Here is a 21,991-nt window from a genome sequence, read left to right as displayed (position 1 = left end):
CTAAGCACAGAGTTTTAGGCAAACCTAATGTAAGAACAGGGTCTGAACTGGACTTCCAATGCCAAGGATTCTAGGCCTAGATCTGCCGTATACAAGTCATTTACCAGTAGGAAAAAAATCACTTTGTCTTTCTGGCCTCAGTTTCCCCATTTGTAAAAAAAAAAAAAAAAAGGTGGGATGGAATTGACTCAATAGTTGGTCAGTTTTCTCCAATATCAGTGAGGTAGGAGGTGGAGCTCTACTCCAGAGACAGGGCTTGGACACCAGATCAGATTGAGGAGTAGCTAAAAATGGGCCAGGGTGAAAGCAGCTTTAAATCAGACACACCCACCAGTGTGTCATGTCAATTTACTGTTGGCATGGCAACACCTAGGAATTACTGCCCTTTTCCATGGCAATGACCCAATGACTCAAAAGTTAGTACCCTTTCCCTAGAAATTTCTGCATAAACTGCCTCTTAATCTTCATGCAATTAAAAGTGGGTATAAATATGACTGCAAAACTGTCCTGAGCTACTACTCTCTGCCTATGAGGCAGCCCTGCTCTGCAGGAGCAGTCACGGAGCTATAACACTGCCTCTTCAATACAGCTGTTTTCTTCTACCTCTGGCTTGCCCTTGGATTCCTTCCTGTGCAAAGCCAAGAACCCTCACAGGCTCCATGTTGGGGCTTGCTTTTTGAGAGCCTGAAATGTAAAATTAGATAAGACACATACATACAAAAGGAAAATTCATTAATTCCATGAATGTGTTTATCCACAAATATTTACTGATCAGTTCCTACTAGGTTCCAGACACTATACAAAATAATGTAAGATAAGCTTACCTTCAAACACATACAGTCTACTGGGGAAGACCATGAACAAATGCACAGTTGGAGCATAGGCACAGAGCAGGGAGCTTTTGAATTAGAGGGAGGGTAGCAAAGTTGTGCCAGAGGAAGTAACATCGTACTGAGAAATAAAAAAGAGATGAAAGGCATCTCATCAAAGAGTATAGAATTTAATAAGACATAGAGTCATGATAAAAGTATGTTGGGGGAATGAAGGTGTATTCTGTGAGAATAATAACGAATGTGGCAGGAAAACTGCATGAGAGCTAGGTTATAGGAGAACATTTTGTTTGGAATTAAATTCTGGAAGCCAAGTGAATCTACTGAAGGAATATGACATGACATGGTCAGATTTTGATTCTACGGTAGTCTAGAAGCAGAGAGGAAGATAAATTGTTGAGGGAAGATGTTAAAGACAAAGAAGCCCATCAGGAGGCTTCTACAATTATCTAGACAAGGGATGGTGCTGATCTCACCTAAGACAGTAAAGCTAGAGAGAATAAAGGTGATACAAGCAATGTTTCAATAGCGGATATTGTAATTCTTGGTGACTGATTAAATATGGGAGATCCATAGTGTTGAGTGTCCATATCAACTGCTAGATTTCATTTCTGGGTGTCTTGGGGAAAGGGGTGCCATTTACTAAATAGAGAATGTGCCAGGAGGAAGTGGTTTGGAAGAAGAGCCATGAAAAGAGGCCCAGCTCTCTCATGCTGTGTCTGAGTCACATAAGCTGATTGATATCCTAAGGCATAGGCCCAGTAAAGAAGCTGGAGATGTGAAAATCATCAGCATAGGTGAGAACCTGAACCATGAATGGAATGGATATTGCCAGGAAGACTGGAAAGACTGAGACCAAAGTAGTATTGAACAGAGCCTTGGGGGGTCTAAAGAACAGTCTAGGAAGAACAAGGAAGAACATGGAAGAGGGTTGGACAGAGAAGTAGGAAGCAATCCATACTAACTATATAATTATGGTTAGTATATTGGAGTATATCCCAGCATAGAGAGGATGAATGGATAGAGAGATAGGGAGATGGAGAGATAGAATTGATAGCTATATGGATGGAAGGATGGATGGAGAGGTAGGTGGATGGATGGCTGGCTGGCTGGATGGATGGATGGATGGATGGATGGATTAGATAGATGATATATATATATATAGATAGATAGATAGATAGATAGATAGATAGATAGATAGATAGATAGATAGATAGATGTGATAGATACATGGATGGAAAGATGGATGAATTGGTAGATGATAGATAGATAGATAGATAGATAGACAGACAGATAGAATTGATAAGTAGATAGATGGAAGATGAATGGATAGGTGGATGGATAGAAAAAGATTATAAGAATTTAAGGGGTGAGCAATCAGGGGGTTAGATACCCCAGAAATGTCAAAAAGATAAGGATGGAAAACTGTCCATAGGATTTGGCTCCATGAAGTTCACTGCTGATCTCATCAAGAACAATCTCTGTGGAGTCAGGGAAGTCAGATTGCAGGGCATTCAACAAGCCCTTATTGCGAGAAATGTGGCAAGAAGTGTAGACTACTCTTTCAAGCAGCAAAAAGGGAAAATAGAGAAAATATAGGATGCTATCTCAGGAAGGTTAGGAAAGTTAGGGTTTTTTTCCACTATGGCAGAAACTTGAGCATGGTTTTAGATTTAGAAGAAAGAGCCAATAGAAGATACATTGAAGATAAAGGAGAGATGATCATTGACAAGAGGGTCTGGGATCCAAAACCCAGATTGCAGGATCCTTGTTATACAAGAGGAGTTACATTGCTTTCTCTGAAACAGAAAGGAAGAAAGAAAATTTAGACACAAATCATCTTAAAGGCATTAGCAGAAGAATGAGGTTAGTCTCTCCAACCCAAGAGATCTTGGTTTCCTTAGGGAAAAATCAGAAAATGGTAGACAGTGTGAAGCATGAGGTAAACTGTTGAAGTGGCCACTAGTGAGAATAGGAGCCCGAATTGCCAAGGGACAAGGACATGGATTCCTGGGAATTATGGAGGCTCCCACTGGGGTTTAAACCATGAACATAGTAAAGCTACTGCCCTCATGAAGGAATGGAGAACTCCAATGGTTGAGTCAACCAAGGATAAATAGGAACAGACATTTCCACCATTATCTTGGATTCTACCTCTGCTCTTTCCGCAATCCACCAAGCCCCGTAAACTTGCCAGAAGTTACATTGTGTCTGCAGTTATAATGTTTAAAACATGCTCTCACTTGACCCCAGGATTCTCATTAGCTGGGTTACCCTCTCCAACCTCATCAGCAGACAAGAAGCTTGGCAAAAACAAATTAAACTTTTAAAATTACCCAAGTAAAATATACTTTTGTAAAAAAAAATGCATCTAAACAAAATAGTACAAGTAAAATCACCCATAATCTGAATAATCAGATAATTATAATTAGTATGTTGGAGTATATCCTGGCATAGAGAAGATAGATAGATAGATATAGATAGAAAGATAGATAGATAGATATAATTGACAGATCGATGGGTAGATACATGGATGGATGGATGGATGGATGGATTGATGGAGATAGATACATAGATAGATAGATATCATTGATGGATGGATAGATGATAGATAAAATTGATAAATAGATGGATGGAAAGATAAGTGGATACGTAGATTGGTGGATGGATGAATAGAAAGATAACTTAGAAATAATTGATAGATGAATGGAAGGATGGATGGATGGATGGATGGATATAGATAGATAATTGATGGATGGATGGATGGATGGATATAGATAGATAATTGATGGATGGATGGATAGATAGATATAATTGATGGATAGAAAGATGATTGAATAGATAGGCAGATGGATGAATAGATGGATATATAGAAAGTGAAAGCACAAATGATGAAGCAAATGTGGCAAAATTTAATAGATGAATCTGAATAAAGAATATACAGGTGTCTTTGCACAATTTTTGTAATTTTTCTATATGACTAAAATAAATAAAAATTTTTAAATACTGAAAAAAGTGTGTTGCTTTCAATCTGTGAAATGAGCATGATACAAACTTTAGAAACCATTGTTCTATCTTGTAGAAAGTCTTTATTTTGGCATGTGAATGGCACTTTTCCTTGACATCTCACTGATACAGATTTTCTCCTACTTTTTAAATTTTTTTTGGCCATTTCAATTATATGAGCTCTTTTTAATTGTAAGTGAGGCCTGCCAGTTAGTAAAATTTGGTTTCTTTTCTAAGGATATGGATCATATGAAGACTTTCATTCCAAGAATGTCTTGACCTACTGTTGGCTTCTTGCCACAGATGAACAGAAAGACTTCCCTCTCCCCATTTTAAAGTATGCCTGGAGCAGTGGTTCACATCCATAATCGCAACACCTGGGAGGCTGAAGCAGGAGGATTGCTTGAGTCCAGGAGCTCAAGATCAGCCTGGGGAAACATAGCAAGACCCCATCTCTACAGAAAAAAAAATTAGCCAGGCGTGGTGGCACGCACCTTTAGTCTCAGGTACTCAGGAGGCTGAGGTGGGAGGATATTTTGAGCCCATGAGTTTGTGGCTACTGTGAGCTATGATCATGCCACTTTACTCCAACCCTAGCCTAGGTGACAGAGCAAAACCCTATCTCTAAAAGCAAAGTAAAAATGAAAATAAAAAGTATGTACCACTAATAGGCCATTGATTAAGGAATAAATATTTTTGCCCAGCAGTACTTATTCTGAAACCTGTGAATGATCAAGCATTTCCTGGTGGTTTAAGTATGAAGCTCTGCCAGCCTCCCCAAGTATTCCATGACAACTCATCTTTCAAGACGCCTTTTTTTGTCCGTTTCCCCAAAGTGATTTGGCAGAATCTGCAGTCATTTTGGAATGTCAAAATGCATTATTTGGATAGAAAATAAAACTATCTAGTTAGTGAACATTGTTTTCCCACACATTACTTTGGATGGACAAAGAGAGGTAAGGTCTTCCTTCTTGCCCTCCATTCATTCATCTATTTATTGAAACAAATACTTATTACGTGCCTGCACTGTGAAAAAGATTGTGCTGGGCACACAGGATACAAAGAGGCATGGTAATCTCCACCTTTGATGAACACAGGCTGGCAGATCAGTTTCCCACGAATGAGTGACAGGTGCACTGCAAGTTGAATCTCCTTAGCCATCAGGGCAGCCAGGAAGGTCTTGACTCGGGACAAGCCCCTCAGCTTGGTTATCTCAAACACAAGCAGTCTCATTCATTTATCCCAATGTGCTACACAAATTGTATCATTTTTCATGTACACTGTGACACAAAAAAGAACAGAAAACACTGGAGGAACCAGATCATTAGAAAAATAATAGGCCAGGCACAGTGGCTCACACCTGTGATCCCAGAACCTTGGGAGGCCAAGTTGGGAGGATCGTTTGAGCCCAAGAGTTCAAGACCAGCCTGGGCAACATAGTGAGACCCCGTCACTACAAAAAAAAATTTAAATGTTATTTTAAAAAAGCAAAAATATTCAATAAAAATTGAAAAAATAATGACAACTTTTATGAGTGGTTACAACATCATTGTTTCTGTTCTAAGCACATTGCACGTATTACCTCATTTTCTCCTCATAACAACCCTATGAGGCATGCAACATTATTCTGATTTTGCAGATAAGGAAGCTGAGTCAAACAAAGCTTAAGTAACTTACCCAAGTTTGCACAGCTAGTAAATGACAGCCAGGATTTAAAGCCAGACTTTCTGGTTCCAGACATGTGCTTTTAATCACTGCATTATAATGCTTCTTGAAGATATAATCACAATGCATCATGATAAATTCTGTAACATACATATTCCTAAAGTGCTATGTGTGTACAGAGGAAAGAGTGATCATTTCTTCCTGGGAGAAGTGAGGGAGACTTTACCATAAACAACCTAAGTACTGGCTGATAGGATACAATCCTGAACAATATGTACTTAAATTCAAAGCAATATTTTGGAACACAAAGAAGTAAAAGCATTTTCTTCTTTTTTTTTTCTTTTTTTTTGAGATGGAGTCTCGCTCTGTCACCCAGGCTGGAGTGCAGTGGCACCATCTCGGCTCACTGCAAGTTCCGCCTCCTGGATTTGCGCCATTCTCCTGCCTCAGCCTCCCAAGTAGCTGGGACTACAGGTGCCCGCCACCACGCCCGGCTAATTTTTTGTATTTTTAGTAGAGACAGGGTTTCACCATGTTAGCCAGAATGGTATCGATCTCCTGACCTTGTGATCCTCCACCTTGGCCTCCCAAAGTGCTGGGATTGCAGGCGTGAGCCAGTAAAAGCATTTTTTCTAATTAATGATCATTATGGCCTAATTGTAACCATAAATAAGAGTAAGTGACATATAAATAACAGCATGTCCATAAAGATCTTGGGCTTTCAAGCCAGGCCCTACCAAATCAGGATTTCAAGCCAAGCCTTTCTTAAATAAAGGCCTGTGGTCCTGGTATTCAAATTGTATGCTTGTTTCAGTCTTTCATTTTGTGTATGTGTGTTGCTGACCTTTCCATGTGACATTTAGTCTGCCATTGATTTTTAGGTTCCTAGGACACAGGTTGATTGATTTTGCATTGGCTGATTTTCAAGAACTTACCAGAAATTTTGGTCAGGACTTGGCAAATTGAAAGTGTAAGGAACATTATGCCCCAACTTCTTATTGAACTAGCCTGATCTTCACAGTCATAATAATTTCTCAAAACACATATTGGAATAAGGTACTCATTTGCTTAAATACCTCCAGTAGTGTCATGTAATTTGCAGGGAAAAGTTTGAGCTCAATTTTTTAGTTCAGTGTGAAAAGACTTTCCTAATATGAACACCGATTATCTTCCCAGTTTCATTTACCAACCTTTTCTCTGACAAATCCTAGTTTTCAGGCATACCACATTCTCATCCCTCTCCCTGTATTATATGCTATATTCTTGTAAGTTCCTATAACCATATATTATGTATTCTACTTTTGAGTGTCTTTCTCCTATATATACAGGCAGCTAACACCTATCTCCTATGCATACATCAATACAAAGTTCCAAAGGCACCTCCTCAAAGAAGTCTTCCATGAGCCCCTTCACTCAGTCTTCAGTAAGTTTCTATTAAATTTTTCTCTATGAATCCTTCCACAGTATTTCTATCTCTATATTTTTATCTGTATATCTATATCTGAATATTTATCTCTGTGTGTGTGCATATATGTCTGGGTATATATATATATATATATATCTTAGTACAGTGTCTGAGAAAGCGTTAATGTTTGTTGAATTAACACTTCTAAGAAAGTAGAAACACAGCAGGAAAAAAAGAAAATATTACTCAAATAAAAAAGGGGCTTGAGAACTGAGCATTTGGGGGGAAATAAAAACATAAACTAAGATTGAATATCACCTGAAAGTTCACAGGGAGCTGCCCAGTTGAAAGAGGTTGTGGAGGGCAGAGAGGGGAAGACTCATTTTACCTTAGTACAAGCCTCGGAAGAAGGAAAATTGCTTGGATGTTGGGGAGAAGGTGCAATTCTACTAACAAAGTGAAAGAAATTTGGCTTTGAAACAAGAGATCCAGAGTGCAAAAAAGAGTTAAAATATTTATAAGGATAAAAGCAAATGTTACATTATACACTAACCAACGGGCCATGCAGTCTTTGAGTAAATCTCTGGAGTGAAGCTTTTGAAGTTCTCTCTGAAGAGATGGAGGGTGTGCAGCTATAAGTTGATGCACAATCTCTCTCCCCAACAAAACTGAAAACCTTCCTCTATCATTGTTCATATTTGTCCTTGCTGTCTCCAGGAAAGCCTTTTTCTGCTGTGCTTAAAAAAAAATAAAGAAAGAAAGAACCGAAAGAAATAAGAAAGAGAAATCCTATTTAACCAACTTTCAGAGGTTATCTCCTGATAATTGAGCTTGGAACGAGGCAAGCTGCCTCCTCTTTGCCAAGGTCATGGGTGACTATTGGCTGGATATCAGGCAAGGGGGCAGGAGTGCAATGCAAGGTAAGTGGCTTTCCTCAATCATGGCTGCTTCCGAACCATTTTAAAGAGGACTGCTTTCCTCGTGGAATGCTTAATAATCTTCAGAGCCAAAGGGATGACAGCTAAGATTACAAACTCAAAAAAGAATCTAAGAAAAACCAGCCTGCCCTAGCCCTAGCGATTCTGTAGCCATTAATTGTACAGACACCACCTGGGGAAGGTTGATACTTGATATAACTAAAAGAGAAAAGCAGGTACTAAAGCCATTTTTTTGCAGGGCTAGAGACATGTAAATTAGGCAGATCTGGGGTCGAATTACAAAAGAACCAGCCCAATGATCCTGTGCCTTCCATACAGCCTAGCCCTCATCCCCCATTCACAGATGGGTTAGCATGAAAAGAAGGAACGTAATATTCTTTCAACGGTTACAATATTCCAAGGACTTTTACATGTTTTATTTTGCTTCATTCTCACAATAACCCTATCAGATGGACATGATTATCTTCAGTTTCTAGTTGAAAAAATTGGTCTCAGAAAAGTGAACCTGCTCAATGTCATGTGACAAGGAAAGAGAGGGTGTGGATTTGAACACAGGCCTCCTCATTTAAGAAATATTTCTTATCTCTCTGTATTATACTATCTAGATCCTGTGTTAGATAATGGAGACACAAAAGCAAAAAGATAGCATTTTAAAGCTACAGGGAACATAACAGTCCAGAAGAGAAACAGGCACACAGAGAATTACATTACGATGTAGTATACTGAGTTAAAATTGAGGTCAGTACCTAAGTACGGAGGGCGGGCCTGACTTCCAAGGGTGGGATCCAGAAATGGTGCCAAAATAAGATATCTCCACCTTGCCATTAAGTTCTAACCTAACTCTTGGATCTTTCAATCAAGTATATGCAAATACAGAAGAAAATGAGCACCAGTTAACATGTATTGAGCACTTGCCATGAGCAGACCCAGATGCAAAGGACCTGAGACACAAACAAATCTGGGGCATTACTGAAATCCACCCACTGCCCGGATAATTACAGGACCTTTATAAGGAGTATATACTTTAATGCATGGGGGAAAAAAGTTAATCATAGCTCCTGGTACATAGTAAAGACTCAATAAATGTAATTTGTCATGCTGTTTTTGTTGGAGGGTGAGAAACATTGCTCCGATTTCCATAAATGAGAGAGGGTTTCTGTTTCACTTTACAAATGTAAACAGTTTGAGGAAAATGATTTCCTTCTCTTTCAACACCCCTTGCTCACTCCTTCCTTTGGAAGGAGAAGTGTTCTTTGTTTGGTTGCTTGTTGTTGTTTTTTGGCTTTTTATTTTTATTTTTATTTTTGAGACAGGGTCTTACTCCATCACCCAGGCTGAAATGCAGTGACATGATCTTGTCTCACTGCAATTTCCACCTCCCGGGTCAAGCGATTCTCCACCTCAGTCTCCCAGATAGCTGGGACTACAAGTGCACACCCCTACACCCAGCTAATTTTTTCAATTTTTTTTAGGGATGGGGTTTTGCCATGTTGCCCAGGCTGGTCTCAAACTCCTGGGCTCAAGTGATCCACCTGCCTTGGCCTCCCAAAGTGCTAAGATTACAGACATGAGCCACCATGCCTGGCCAGGAGAAGTTGTTTATCTGGTTGGTGCTTCTCATTTCTCTAATGCAGGAGTTTTCAATGTCATGATCCGAAAAGGGAGATTATAATCCCTGCTTTTCTCATAGGTTTGTTGAAATAATTTATGAAAGCACATTGTGTCAGTCATGACACAAAGTGAAGTGTTACTCCATTAAGCAGCATGGCATAATAATTCCTACGAACAAGATGAGCGCTTCCTACATACAAGAACTTTAATGCACCATTTTATATTATCCTCCTGATCATCCTGGCTAAAATGTGTCTCCCTTTTACATAGGAAGTGATTGAGCTCCAGAGGTATTGAGCAACTCATTCAAGGTCACACAGGTGGCAAATGGCTGAGCCAAGCTTCAAATCAATTTTGCACCACCCGCAAATATTTGACAGTATCTGGAGACATTTTGGGTTATTCTAACCGGCATGGTGCTGATGCTACTGCCGTCTAATGGGTGTAGGCTAGGGATGCTGCTAAACATCCTCCAGTTCCCAAGACAGCCCCCACACAGTGAAGAATTACTCAGCCTAAGATGTCGATAGTGCAGAGTTTGAGAAGCTCTTCTCTAATGAGTATTAAATATGCTGCCTAGTATAATGGTTAAGCTAGGCGACTCCTGAGCTACATTGCTCAACTCCACTTACCAACTGTGTAACTCTGGGCAAGTCATTTAACACCCCCCTGCTTCAGGTTCCTCATCTGTAAAATAGGGTTAACTGTCGTTTCCACCTCCTAGGATTTTTGTGAAGGTGAAATAAGTGACTGCATGTAAAGTATTTAAAACAGGGCTTGGCATTTAGCAAAAGCTCAATAAATGTTTGCCATTGATGTATTAGAAAGTCATGCACATTGTAAGCCCACTCTCCAGCCCATCCTCTGCGTAAATCTTCCCAGTCCTGCTCATACATTATGCTCCTGGTGATTAAGAGCTCTGAAGCCAGACTGCATGGGTTTCCTGGTCTGAATCCTGACTGTTAGTTCAGCAGCTCAGGCGGTGGGATTCGAAGTGATCAAGATCATCTGAGATGCATTTGCTCACTTAATACTTAAAACAAACCTAGGAAACTGGTACCACTATTTCACTGATGAGGCTTTGGAGGATTCGTTCGCTTGCCCAAAGTTCCAGCCACTAAGTAGAGAGTCTCAAGGTACTGCCAGGGCTGGATGCAGTGGTTCAGGCTTGCAATCCCAGCACTTTGAGAGGCCGCAGAGGGAGAATCGCTTAAGGCTAGACGTTTAAGATCAAGGTGCTGCCACCTGTCAGTGCCATCACAAATGGATTTAGAGACTCAACCCCTACCCTTCCATCTGTGGAGAGAGGGCATTTGCAGGCAGAAGGTTAATGCCGGCTCTGCCACTATGTAGTGGCCAGACACTGAGAAAGTAGCAATCTCTCTGAGCTGCCATATATATATAAAAAGATTTCAACTTTGTTGATTGTTGATATCAAATAATATTTAAAAACACATAATATAAGGGAGATTTAGGACCTCTTTCAGGCAACAGAGTTTGCCTTAGAATGCCTTAGAAAATCCATATGTGAAGCTCGACCTAGTGGCTTTGAACAATGTACAAATAGCCTTTTAGCAATCCTTGAAATTCCTCCATTTCTAGTATGACCTAGCCCAGTTTGGGGGATTTATGGAGCAGGGTTGATGGCCAGGTATGTATCTGCAAAATGCCGTATGGACACTCATGGAACCATCCCAGCCATTCAACTGTCTCTGGGTCATAGCACACAAATGTGAGAGGAGAGGAGAGGAGAGGTCATTTAATAGAGCTATTGTACTCTCAGCTTCACTGGTTCAATAACTTTCTCAGCATGCTCAAGAAACTAATATTCCCCAGCTAGCTCACTGCCCTGAACTTTTTCAGAAGCTCTGACCTCTGAGCTGTTTCTTGGAGACTGCAGGTGAACCTCACTTATTCCTACCGTTTTCCCTTGGAGCCTCTAAATTCTCCTTGGCCTCTATCACTCTGCCAATGTAGATGAAGTACCGCTCCCAAAGTAAGAAATCCTAGGCGCGAATGGGCCCTGGTGGGGTGACTCTGGAGAAATTACTAAAATTATATGAGCAATGGTTTCCTCATTTGTAAAATGGGAAACTAATAATATCAATGTCAAGGGCTAATTTGAGAATAAAATTGACTTAGTTCATATTAAAGTGCTTTCGAATGTGTGTAATGTAGAATGTGCTATTATTTCTTATCTAGGTATTGCCTTTGGTATCATTTGTTAAATCTCTCTGATGTAACAAGGACTGATGAAGGATTTACACACAGTATCTCATCTGGTCCTCACAAATAATTCTAGGACATAGGACTTGTTATTGGCCCCATTTGGGGAGTAAGCAAACAGGCTTAAAGTGGTTAAATAATTTCCCTAAGCCTGTAAGTGGCAGAACCAGTACTTGGACCTGGGCCTATCGTAGAACAAGTCCATGCTCTTACACTATGATAATCTCTGGTCTTCTCCAAAACACAGAAGAGGTGGGACAAGGTGGCTCATGCCTATAATCTCCGCACTTTGGAAGGCCAAGGCAGGCGATCACTTGAGTCCCGGAGTTTGAGACCAGCCTGGGCCACATGGTGAAACCCTATGTCTACAAAACATACAAAAATTAGCTGGGTGTGGTGGCACACACCTGTGGTCCCAGCTACTCAGGAGGGTGAGGTGGGAGGATCATCTGAGCCTGGGGAACTCGAGGCTCTAGCAAGCTGTCATCGTGCCACTGGACTCCAGCCTGGGCAACAGGGTAAGACCCTGTCTCAAAACACAAACAACAAAAACAGAGAAGAAGCTAAGAAACTAGGAGGGAACCAAAATTATTAGTACTGAGATGATTGTTTTTTCTATTGGGCTTTAGAGAAAATGATATATGGTGAGACAGAGCTATAAAGTATGGTCCAATAAATTGCAAAACCCTTTTTAACCCTCACAACAACCCTATGAGGTAAATATTTGATCCCCTCTTGACAGATTGGAAAATCGAGGCTTAGGGACCTAAGAGATATGCCTCCAAATCACAGAACTAGTAAATAAAGGTACCAAGACTTGCACCTAAGTATTCTGGGACCAACTCCTGCCATCTTTCCACCATTCCAGTATGGATTTGACACTTGGCTCAGCCATTTATGAGCCACGTGACCTGGGATGAGTTACTCAACCTCTCAAAGGCTCAATTACCACATAGGTTAAAAAAAAAAGACATATTTTAACCAAGATGATCAGCAAGATAAAATAATGCAAGTTAAGTTCTTGAACACAGCAAGCACTCAACAAATGATAGCGAGAATTATCATACCATGCTGCCTTACTGTACTAACATCTCACTTTTGTATCATGATTAATGATTTACACATTGTGTTTAAATACATTATTTCGGTAAACCTATAAGGCAAGAATTATGGACCCCTGTTTTAGGTTATGACATTGAGATGTTAGAGAAAAATAACACTTACTCAAAATCACACAAGTAGTAAGTAAAGGTTTGGGGATGCAACCCAGTCTTTTGGTTTCAAATGAAGAATAATTTCTATTGCACTGTGTCGGGCATTGAACACATTATACACTACCTTTTCATTCATTCATTCATTCATTGTTCCAACATCTACAAAGTTATCCCTCAGATTCAAAAGTGGAAGTTGAGTTCAATTTTCTTCTCACTCAGGGGTCACCCTCCCAGTTAAAAAATCAAGTTACTAATGAGTGACTGAAAAGACCTCCCTAAGAGGCAATACTACCATTTGTTAATGTAATAGGTATTTATTGAGCACCTACTGTATGCAGATAAATATGCTACATGTTGGGAAAACAGCAGACACGTCTCTTTTTCCTCTCTGCCTCTAAGATGTCCAGGGAAGCACCAGAATGCAAAGCATTATTAAATGTGCTTATGATACAGGTGCTGTGAAGAGAAAATGAGAGTCACTAACACAGGAACAGAAAACCAAATGCTTCCTGTTCTCACTTATAAGTGGGAGCTAAATGATGAGAACTCATGAACACAAAGAAGTGAACAACAGACTTAAGGGTGGAGGTTGGGAGGAGGGAGAGGAGCAGGAAAAATAACTGTTGAGTACTAGGCTTAATATCTGGGTGCTGAAATAATCTGTACAACAAACCCCCATGAAACAAGTTTACCTGTACAACAAACCTGCACAGTATCCTCAAACCTAAAATAAAGCTTAAAAAAAAGAAGTCACCAACTCACCCTGGAGAGGTCAAGAAACATCTATGGAAAATGACGTTTGAGTTGAGATTAGAATGATAAGTACATTTTATCTTTGAACAATACTGATCTGAACTGCAAGGGGCCACTTATGTGCAAATTTTTTTCAATAAAAGTGGCACTGAGTGTGCCTGCCTCTCCTGGCTCCCTTTCTGCCTCCTCCACCTCTTCCCCTTCCGCCTCCCCGAGACAGCAAAACCAACCCCTCCACTTCCTCCTCCTCCTCAGCCTACTAATAATTAAATTTTATTGTGGAGAAGGGATCTTGCTGTGTTGCTTAGGCTGGTCTTGAACTCATGGCCTCAAGCAATCCTCCTCCCTTGGCCTCCCAAAACCCTGGGATTACAGGCATGAGCCACTATGCCCAGCCTATCACACATCTTTGTTTCTCTGAATGTTACTTTCGAGGAAGTTCTTAAACCTGAAGATGATGAGAATGGAAAACTTTATGATGATCCACTTCCACTTAATAAATAGCAAATATATTTTCTCTTCCTTGTGATTTTCTTAATAACATTTTCTTTCCCCTAGCTTACTTTATTGTAAGAATACAGTATGCAATGCATATAACATAAAAAAACAGGTGTTAATTGATGGTTTATGTTATTAGTAAGGGTTCCCATCAATAGTAGCCTATTAGTAGTTAAAGTTTTGCAGAGCCGAAAGTTATGTGCAGATTTTTTTATTGCATGGGGGTTGGCACCTCTAACCCCTGCATTGTTCGAGGGTTAACTGCAGATGTTAACCAGATAGTAGCTGTTCAGACAGAGGAAAGCATGGAGAGAGAATGGTGCATGGAATAAATAGAATCACTGTGAAGCTGAACTACATAAAGGGCAAAAGAAGAAAGTCAGGCCTGAGAAGAAAAGACAAGGGTACTTCAGATTTGCTTTATAAGCCATGCCAAACAGTTTCAACTTTATCTGAAATCCCCTAGGGAATCATAGAGATTTTTTTTTTTTAGACAGAGTTTCACTCTTGTCACCCAGGCTGGAGTGCAATGTCACGATCTTGGCTTACTGCAACCTCTGCCTCCAAGGTTCAAGCGATTCTCCTGTCTCAGCCTCCCGAGTAGCTGGGATCACAGGCACCTGCCACTACACCTGGTTAATTTTTGTATTTTTAGTAGAGACAAGGTTGGCCATGTTGGCCAGGCTAGTCTCAAACTCCTGACCTCAGGTGATCCGCCCACCTCGGCCTCTCAAAGTGCTGGGATTACTGGTGTGAGCCACTGCACCCAGCCCATAGAGAGATTTTGAAGAGTTAATCAAATCAGGTTATTAGTTGGCTCACTGATAATTGAGAAACATCATGTGGCAGGCCTGAGGATGGAGACACTGGATCAAGGGAAAGACTAGAAACAGTTAAGACCAATTGTGGTGTTATTTGCGACAATCCTGGTAAGAGCAGCGAGGATGGACGGGGGAAAGGATGGATTCCTGAGATACGTAGGACAAAGCCTTAACAATCATGGGCAAACTGATCGTTAAACTGGTCACATTCTGCATCTCTACTGCTGACCTAATACCTGCACTGAGCAAATCAGTAGAGCTCAGCCCTGCCGGATCTGACCTGGAATTTGGAGAGCCACCAGAGAGGAGCACTAAGGGTCAACTCTCCAGATCCTGCAACAAGATGAGTTTGACTGTCAAGCATCTTTCCCACCAACACAGTGTCAAGTCTCCTAGCAAAGGGGCTGGCACAAAAGTGTATGATGGGGAGCAAGGTCTCTACACAGGGATGACAGTTGATGCATTAGCACTGTTGCAGAAACAGGACCAGCGATGGCCCACAGAAAACTCCTGGAGTCTGAAAGTGACTAAATTGGACTCCTGACAGCTTTAAACTCAGAGGCAGAGCCTGCATCTCAAACAGAAGAGGGAGAATTGTCTAAATGCTTCAATTCTTGTAATTGAAGCAATTGCACATCATTTTACATGCCAGCTCCCTGACAGGATAACCAGTTTGAGCTGAGTGTGGGAATTCAATTATGGATCTTCTGTCTGCATCTTTGAAAGAAAACAACCCAACTGGCCTGTCAAATATCCAGCATGTTTGCCTGTTGGAAATTGCTATCTCCTCCTGACACAGAAAATGTCTGTGCAGAAGAGAAACCTATTATATTTCAGAAAGCTAGCATAACCCTATTACAAAACCTGACAAAGAAAACTACAGACCAATTTTATCTATGAATATAAATGCAAAATCCCTAAATAAAATATAAGCATATGCAATGTGGCAGTATAACACAAAGCTTTTCCATTAAAAATCGGAAACAAAATAAGGATACCCACAATGACCTAATTATTTTAAATTGCTTTGAAATGTCTGGCCAATGCAATAAGACAAGAAATATAAATAAATAAAGGGTATAATTATTGAAAAGCAAGTGGTAACATCTCTCATTATTCGCATACGTGATTATCCACCTGGAAAATCTAAGCAAATAAACTGAAAAAGTTCTTAACCCCCGTAAGAGTTCCCTGGTTACTTTCCTAAGAACTTAACCTAAAGTAACTTTCAGAGAGTATCAAAGATTTATGATAGGCTGGGCACAGTGGCTCACGCCTGTAATCCCAAGGTTTTGGGAGTCCAAGGGAGGAGGATTGCTTGAGGCCATGAGTTCAAGACCAGCCTGAGCAACACAACAGGCTCCCTTCTCCACAATAAAATTTAATTATTAGCTGCACATGGTAGCATTTGCTGTAGTCCCAGCTATTCAGGAGGCCGAAGTGGGAGGATCTCTTGAGCCCAGAAAGCAGAGGCTGCAATGAGGTATGTTTGAACCACTGCACTCCAGTCTGTGAAACAGAGCAAGACTCTGTGTCTTAAAAAAAAAAAAAAAAAAAAAAAAAAAAAAAAAAAAAAGTGATAGAAGGATTCTCATCCCAGAATTATTTTTATTAGTGAAAAAAACAAAAATAATCTAAACATCTAACAATGAGGATGTGATTAAACATGTTACTTTAGATCCAAGTGACAAAATATGCAGGCATTAAGACATATTTTTAAAAATATTTGATAACTTGGACAAATGCTCGCATACTATCAGAATAAGAGCAAAATACAAACCTAAATACAGTATGATTTCTCTTTTGTAAAATAATCAAATAAAACAAATCAATGCTTATTTGCATAGAAAGCATACTGTGAGGAATATAAAAATGGTAATGTAGTTATCATTGGGTGGGGGCTTTTAACTTTTATAGAATTATAATACACATGAATTAGTTTTACAAATTACGCTACGACTATACTGTGAAATGTATAGGATTAGGCCAGATATCGAAGATACTTGCCAATCTGCTTCTACATAAATATATGACGATTTTCTATGAAAATCAGACACTCCAAAACACAAAAGGGCCTGTGATAGTATTATCCCTTGAAGACCTGGGCTGCCACACAATGCTAACAACTAGCTTCACTCAGAATTTGGCGGGAGCTGGCCTTCCTGGACAAGACCCTAACCTTCAACCTTATCAGCAGACAAAGCCCTTTTTCTTTTCTGGGTCCAGTTAGAGTCTAATTTGTCACCCAACTCCTTTTTTGCCACACTCCTATCTCCACTGGGCCCCTCTGGCCAATCCTTATAAAAGCCACATGTGTGACCCCACCTGAGATGAGCTTCCCAGGTGAGCTCAGCCTCCAGGGTCACTCTATCAGAAACCACTTGAACTCCTAGCTCAGGATCTTCCCCCGGGATATCGACGATAGGGTCCTGGATTTACATGGGTTCTCCTTTAATAGATTTCTTGCCTGAATTTCCCTTTCTGATGAACCAAAGCAGACCCAAACTGGATGCCAACCTAACAGACCAATACAAAATGTTATGTCCGGAGGAGCTAAACTCAGACAGAATACTTTACCTACTGAAGGTGGCTTGGAGTGAGAAGACCCTGGGTGTTTATGAAGGCCAGTAAATTTAGAGAGAACTGGAAGTCAATACAGAGATACCAGGTGTGAATGCCCCACCCACAGAGCTAGAGCAAACCTACAAACCACAGATAAAGTCAAGGATAGGAAAGAGTCAGAGACTATGCAGAAAAGCCTGGACACAGCTGCAAAATCTTTGGGATAGCCCAGACTCAGTTTCAGTGATTTGCTGTACACATGTTATGATAGGTTAAAGCAAGGACGTAGGAACACAAGCTCAAATGCCCATAGAATGCAGGCAGTAATCTAAAAGAGTGAAGTGGGCCAGCTGGAGACCACGTGCCTCACGCAAAGGGGGACAGCCACTACTGAACCCTAACTAATTGTTGCCATGCAGAAACAAGGCTAGGAATCCAAATTTGTGTGTGAAGTTTCCCATTTTAAAATGTTGCCAACTGTTTTGAACATTATACAAGCCAAACAAAATACATTTGCAAGCTGCATTTTATCCCTGGAAAGAAATTCATGACTTCTAACTAACACAAAGTCTAAAAGGGGTGGGAAATTGATTCCAATAAGATTGACCCATCCCCAACTTTCCCTAAGAGGCTTCCCTTGCAGGAGTGTGAGAAAGGAGATGTTATGCTTTCACCTACTCCAGAATGTGACCCATCCTACCCCAGGGTCAAGGCAACGGGAAAACAGTCACCCACTGACTCTGAGCCTCATGCATTTCTTCTATGTGTTGGGGCCTGGTCAGTTCTCAAGGTTTGAATATGCATGCCCTCTGGAAACCAGGACCCTATAGTTGAAGTCCTAGAGGAGGATCCTGAGTCAGGAGTTTAAGTGGATTTTTATAGAGTGATGCTGGAGGATAAGCTCAACTGGGAAACTCATTTCAGGTGGAGTCACACATATGAGAAACTCAGAGGCACAACAGTAATGACTGCAGAAATCCAAATGTCATCACCACATCTAACAAGGTCCTATCCATTGAGAGCTAACCTGCTGGATGAGCTCTGATTGACCATTGTCTAATAATATGTGTCTCCAGAGTATAAACAAGTCCAAGTCAGAGAGGTAGATGGGTGGAAGACTTCCCTGAGAACTATGGGGTTTGTCAGCTTTTAAAATTCCCTACCAAATCCAGCTATCCCAATGCACATTGCTCAGTGTGTGCTCCATGATTTATCTCAGAGCCCTTCTGATACTTTCTTGGGATCTTGAGAAGTATAAAGCATGTATCTGTATGCTGTTGGCATTGGTACATATCAATGTAGGGAAAAAAATGCATATTTCACCTGAAAGCATTTCCAGATAGAAGAAACATGAGGCAGGATATTACTAATAAATAAATAAATAAATTTCCCAATAATTGAAGGACTTGAGTTTTTTAGAATTACCCTCTTAGGACCCATCACCATGAATGAAGACCCATACCAAAGCAGGTTTTGATGGTATTTCAGAATAATGAATAAAAAAGGCCAGGTATGGTGGCTCATGACTGTAATCCCAGCACTTTGGAATGCCGAGGTGGGCGATCACTTGAGGTCAGCAGTAAGACCGGCCTGGCCAACATGATGAAACCCCGTCTCCACCAGGTGCTGTGGCTCATGCCTGTAATCCTAGCACTTTGGAAGGCTGAGTTGGGTGGGGATTGCCTGAGTTCAAGAGTTTGAGACCAGCCTGGGCAACATGGTGAAACCCCATCTCTACTAAAATACAAAACGTTAGCTGGGCGTGGTGATGGGTGCCTGTAATCCCAGCTACTCGGGAGGCTGAGGCAGGAGAATTGCTTGAACCAGGGAGGCAGAGGTTGCAGTGAGCTGAAATCACACCACTGCACTCCAGCCTGGGCAACAGAGTGAGACTCTGTCAAAAAAAAAAAAAAAAGTCTGAGGATAAATAATTTCCAACTCCAAGTTTCTAGCCAAACTAGAAAGTTATTTGTGAGAGCATAATAAAGTCAGTTGTAGATATTCAGGGTCACAAAACACTTAGCTTCCCCTCACATTATCGCAGAAGCCACTAAAGGTAATAACAAGGAAAACAAAGACATAAAGCCCAGGAAACACATGATCAAAAGAACAGGGCAAGAAAGTTTGCAGGGTGAAGTTCCAGGATAACATCTGTATAGATGGCCCAAGGAGTGACACTCAAAACTGGAGCAGGAGATGGAGAATTCCTGGGGACACACACATGCACACACACACACATGAATCTGAAAACTCATCTAACACAGTTGATGACACTGAGTTTTGAGAGTTTTATTGGATAATTTGGGAATCAATACATATATAGAAAAATAAGCCAACCAACAAAAAAAGAGGCAATTATTAACTCCTGGAAAAATAAAAAGAAAGGAGCTATGGTCATAGGACACCTTATGGTTCATCTGAGAACAGTATTTTCATAATCATAATAATGTAAAACTATTTAACTTAAAATTGTGATATAACTGTATTGAGAGACTGACGGAAGAGGAAGAAGAATGCAATGGGGTGGGGATTGGAGTAATATTAAAAAAGCTAATTCTCATGTCCCATAGTAGGAGGTCAAAGAACTTTTTTAATTAGAAATTTATTTAAATCAAGAAATGGCAAAATAAGTATATGATTTACAAATATGAGGATAAATATCAGAAAAGCTGAGTGTTGAAAATGGTTGCCTCTTGGGAACTGGATTCAAAGGTCAGGTAGAGGTGGTCAGTGACTGCTGATCTTTGTTAAAATGTTTGCAGGATTGCACAATTAAATTATTTACAGGAATTACATTGATTTTAAAAAAATTAAAAAGAGATTTATATATATATATATATATATATATATATATATATGCTTTCTTACTTTGTGATTCTCTATTACCTGAAATGATCTGCACTGGTGGCACATATACTGTGATTTATTCCAATACTTGAGAAAACCCCTGAAGCCCTAGGTTTTATCATTACCTTCCTGCCCTTCTGTAATATAAATTTTTCTGTCACTGACATGCTCACCAAAATAATCAGCTTTTTTCCATCCCAGGCTACCACTACCTAAGTAGCTGCCACATTAACCTAGGTGAGAATTATGAAAACCTAGTCTAGGGTAGTAGAAGAAGGAATGGAGATGCAGGAATAAATACCGAGATATTGAAAGGGTTCAGTAGGCAGCTGATGAGATGCAGCTTGGGTCAACAGGGTGAGGGAAAGGCATTGAATATAATAGTAAGGCTTTGATCTTCATTGACATGAAGAAAGAAAGAAAACAAAAGGAGAGATACACTTGGAATAAATGATTTTGTGTTGGGATGTTGAATTTTAGTTTCAGTGGACAACCAATTTAGACATGTTACACTATTAAACATACACTTTGTCCATGATCACTGGAATCCCAGGACAGCATAACTCAGACAGAGAACTCATGGCAACAGAATCTTAGAAGATTATATTGGCCACGGTGGGCCCCATAACACAGAAGACAGATAAAATCCTGGAGCAAACCTGCACCAGAGGAAAGCTATCAAAAATACTTCATTACTGCCAAAATCACAGCAACTTCCAAAGCTCCCTTCCCAAAACAGCACAGTGTCCACCTGATGACAGAATAGTGGAAGTGGTGCAGAGACAGTGTGCAAACTTTGACCTTTGTCATAAGAGTGTTTATGTCACTCATAGCATTCCAAAAGGCCATTAACCAGATTTCATGATGTCCTATGGCAAATCTCACAGGTTCTAAATTCTTGATTTTATATACTGGATTAGAGGAAGCTGATTGTATTAGCCCATTTTCACACTGCTGATAAAGACATAGCCAAGATTGGGTAATTTATAAAGGAAAGAGATTTAATGGACTCACAGTTCCACATGGCTGGAGGCCTCACAATCATGGTAGAAGAGCAAAGGACATCTTATATGGCAGCAGGCAACAGAGAGCTTGTGCAGGGAAACTCCCCCTTATAAAACCATTAGATCTCATGACACGTATTCACTTTCACCAGAACAGCATGGGAAAGACCCACTCCCATGACTCAGTTACCTCCCACCAGGGCCCTCCCATGACACATAGGAATTGTGGGAACTACAATTCAAGATGAGATTTGGGTGGGGACACAGCCAAACCATATCACTGATATTTCTCCATCTTTTGTACTTTGGTATATGATCTTCCTCAGCCTATTCTTTAAACATTGATGTCCTCTTCTCCTTTTCTCCTTGGGCAATTTTATCTATTTTATCCCCATATATAAGGTAAGAAAATCAAGGAAATGAAAACGATTCAGACCCTTGGATCAGCTTCTCTCTCAGATGCAGGAAGACAGGAAGAAGGAGAGTACCATAATCATACATTGGTAGTTTAATGTACAATGAGTCTATCCACCAGCAAAGACCTAAACTTTGACCAATCACATTACTGTCCCTCCTACATCTGGAAAACTTACAGAATGTTCTCTAAGGGA

General features: G+C 40.3%; 1 annotated feature.

Annotated features, from left to right (window-relative positions):
- Positions 7,920-8,421: an enhancer, noted in NCBI's record as "NANOG hESC enhancer chr16:25422594-25423095 (GRCh37/hg19 assembly coordinates)". NCBI's record gives its function as "activates a minimal SCP1, AML or CMV promoter by ChIP-STARR-seq in primed H9 embryonic stem cells {active_cell/tissue: H9 hESC(primed)}" and the evidence as "EXISTENCE:reporter gene assay evidence [ECO:0000049][PMID:30033119]".

This window comes from Homo sapiens, chromosome 16 (genome assembly GCF_000001405.40).
Source record: "Homo sapiens chromosome 16, GRCh38.p14 Primary Assembly".
NCBI lineage: Eukaryota > Metazoa > Chordata > Mammalia > Primates > Hominidae > Homo > Homo sapiens.
The sequence above is the reverse complement of the archived record's forward strand: the minus strand, read 5'-3'. Positions and strand labels throughout refer to the sequence as shown.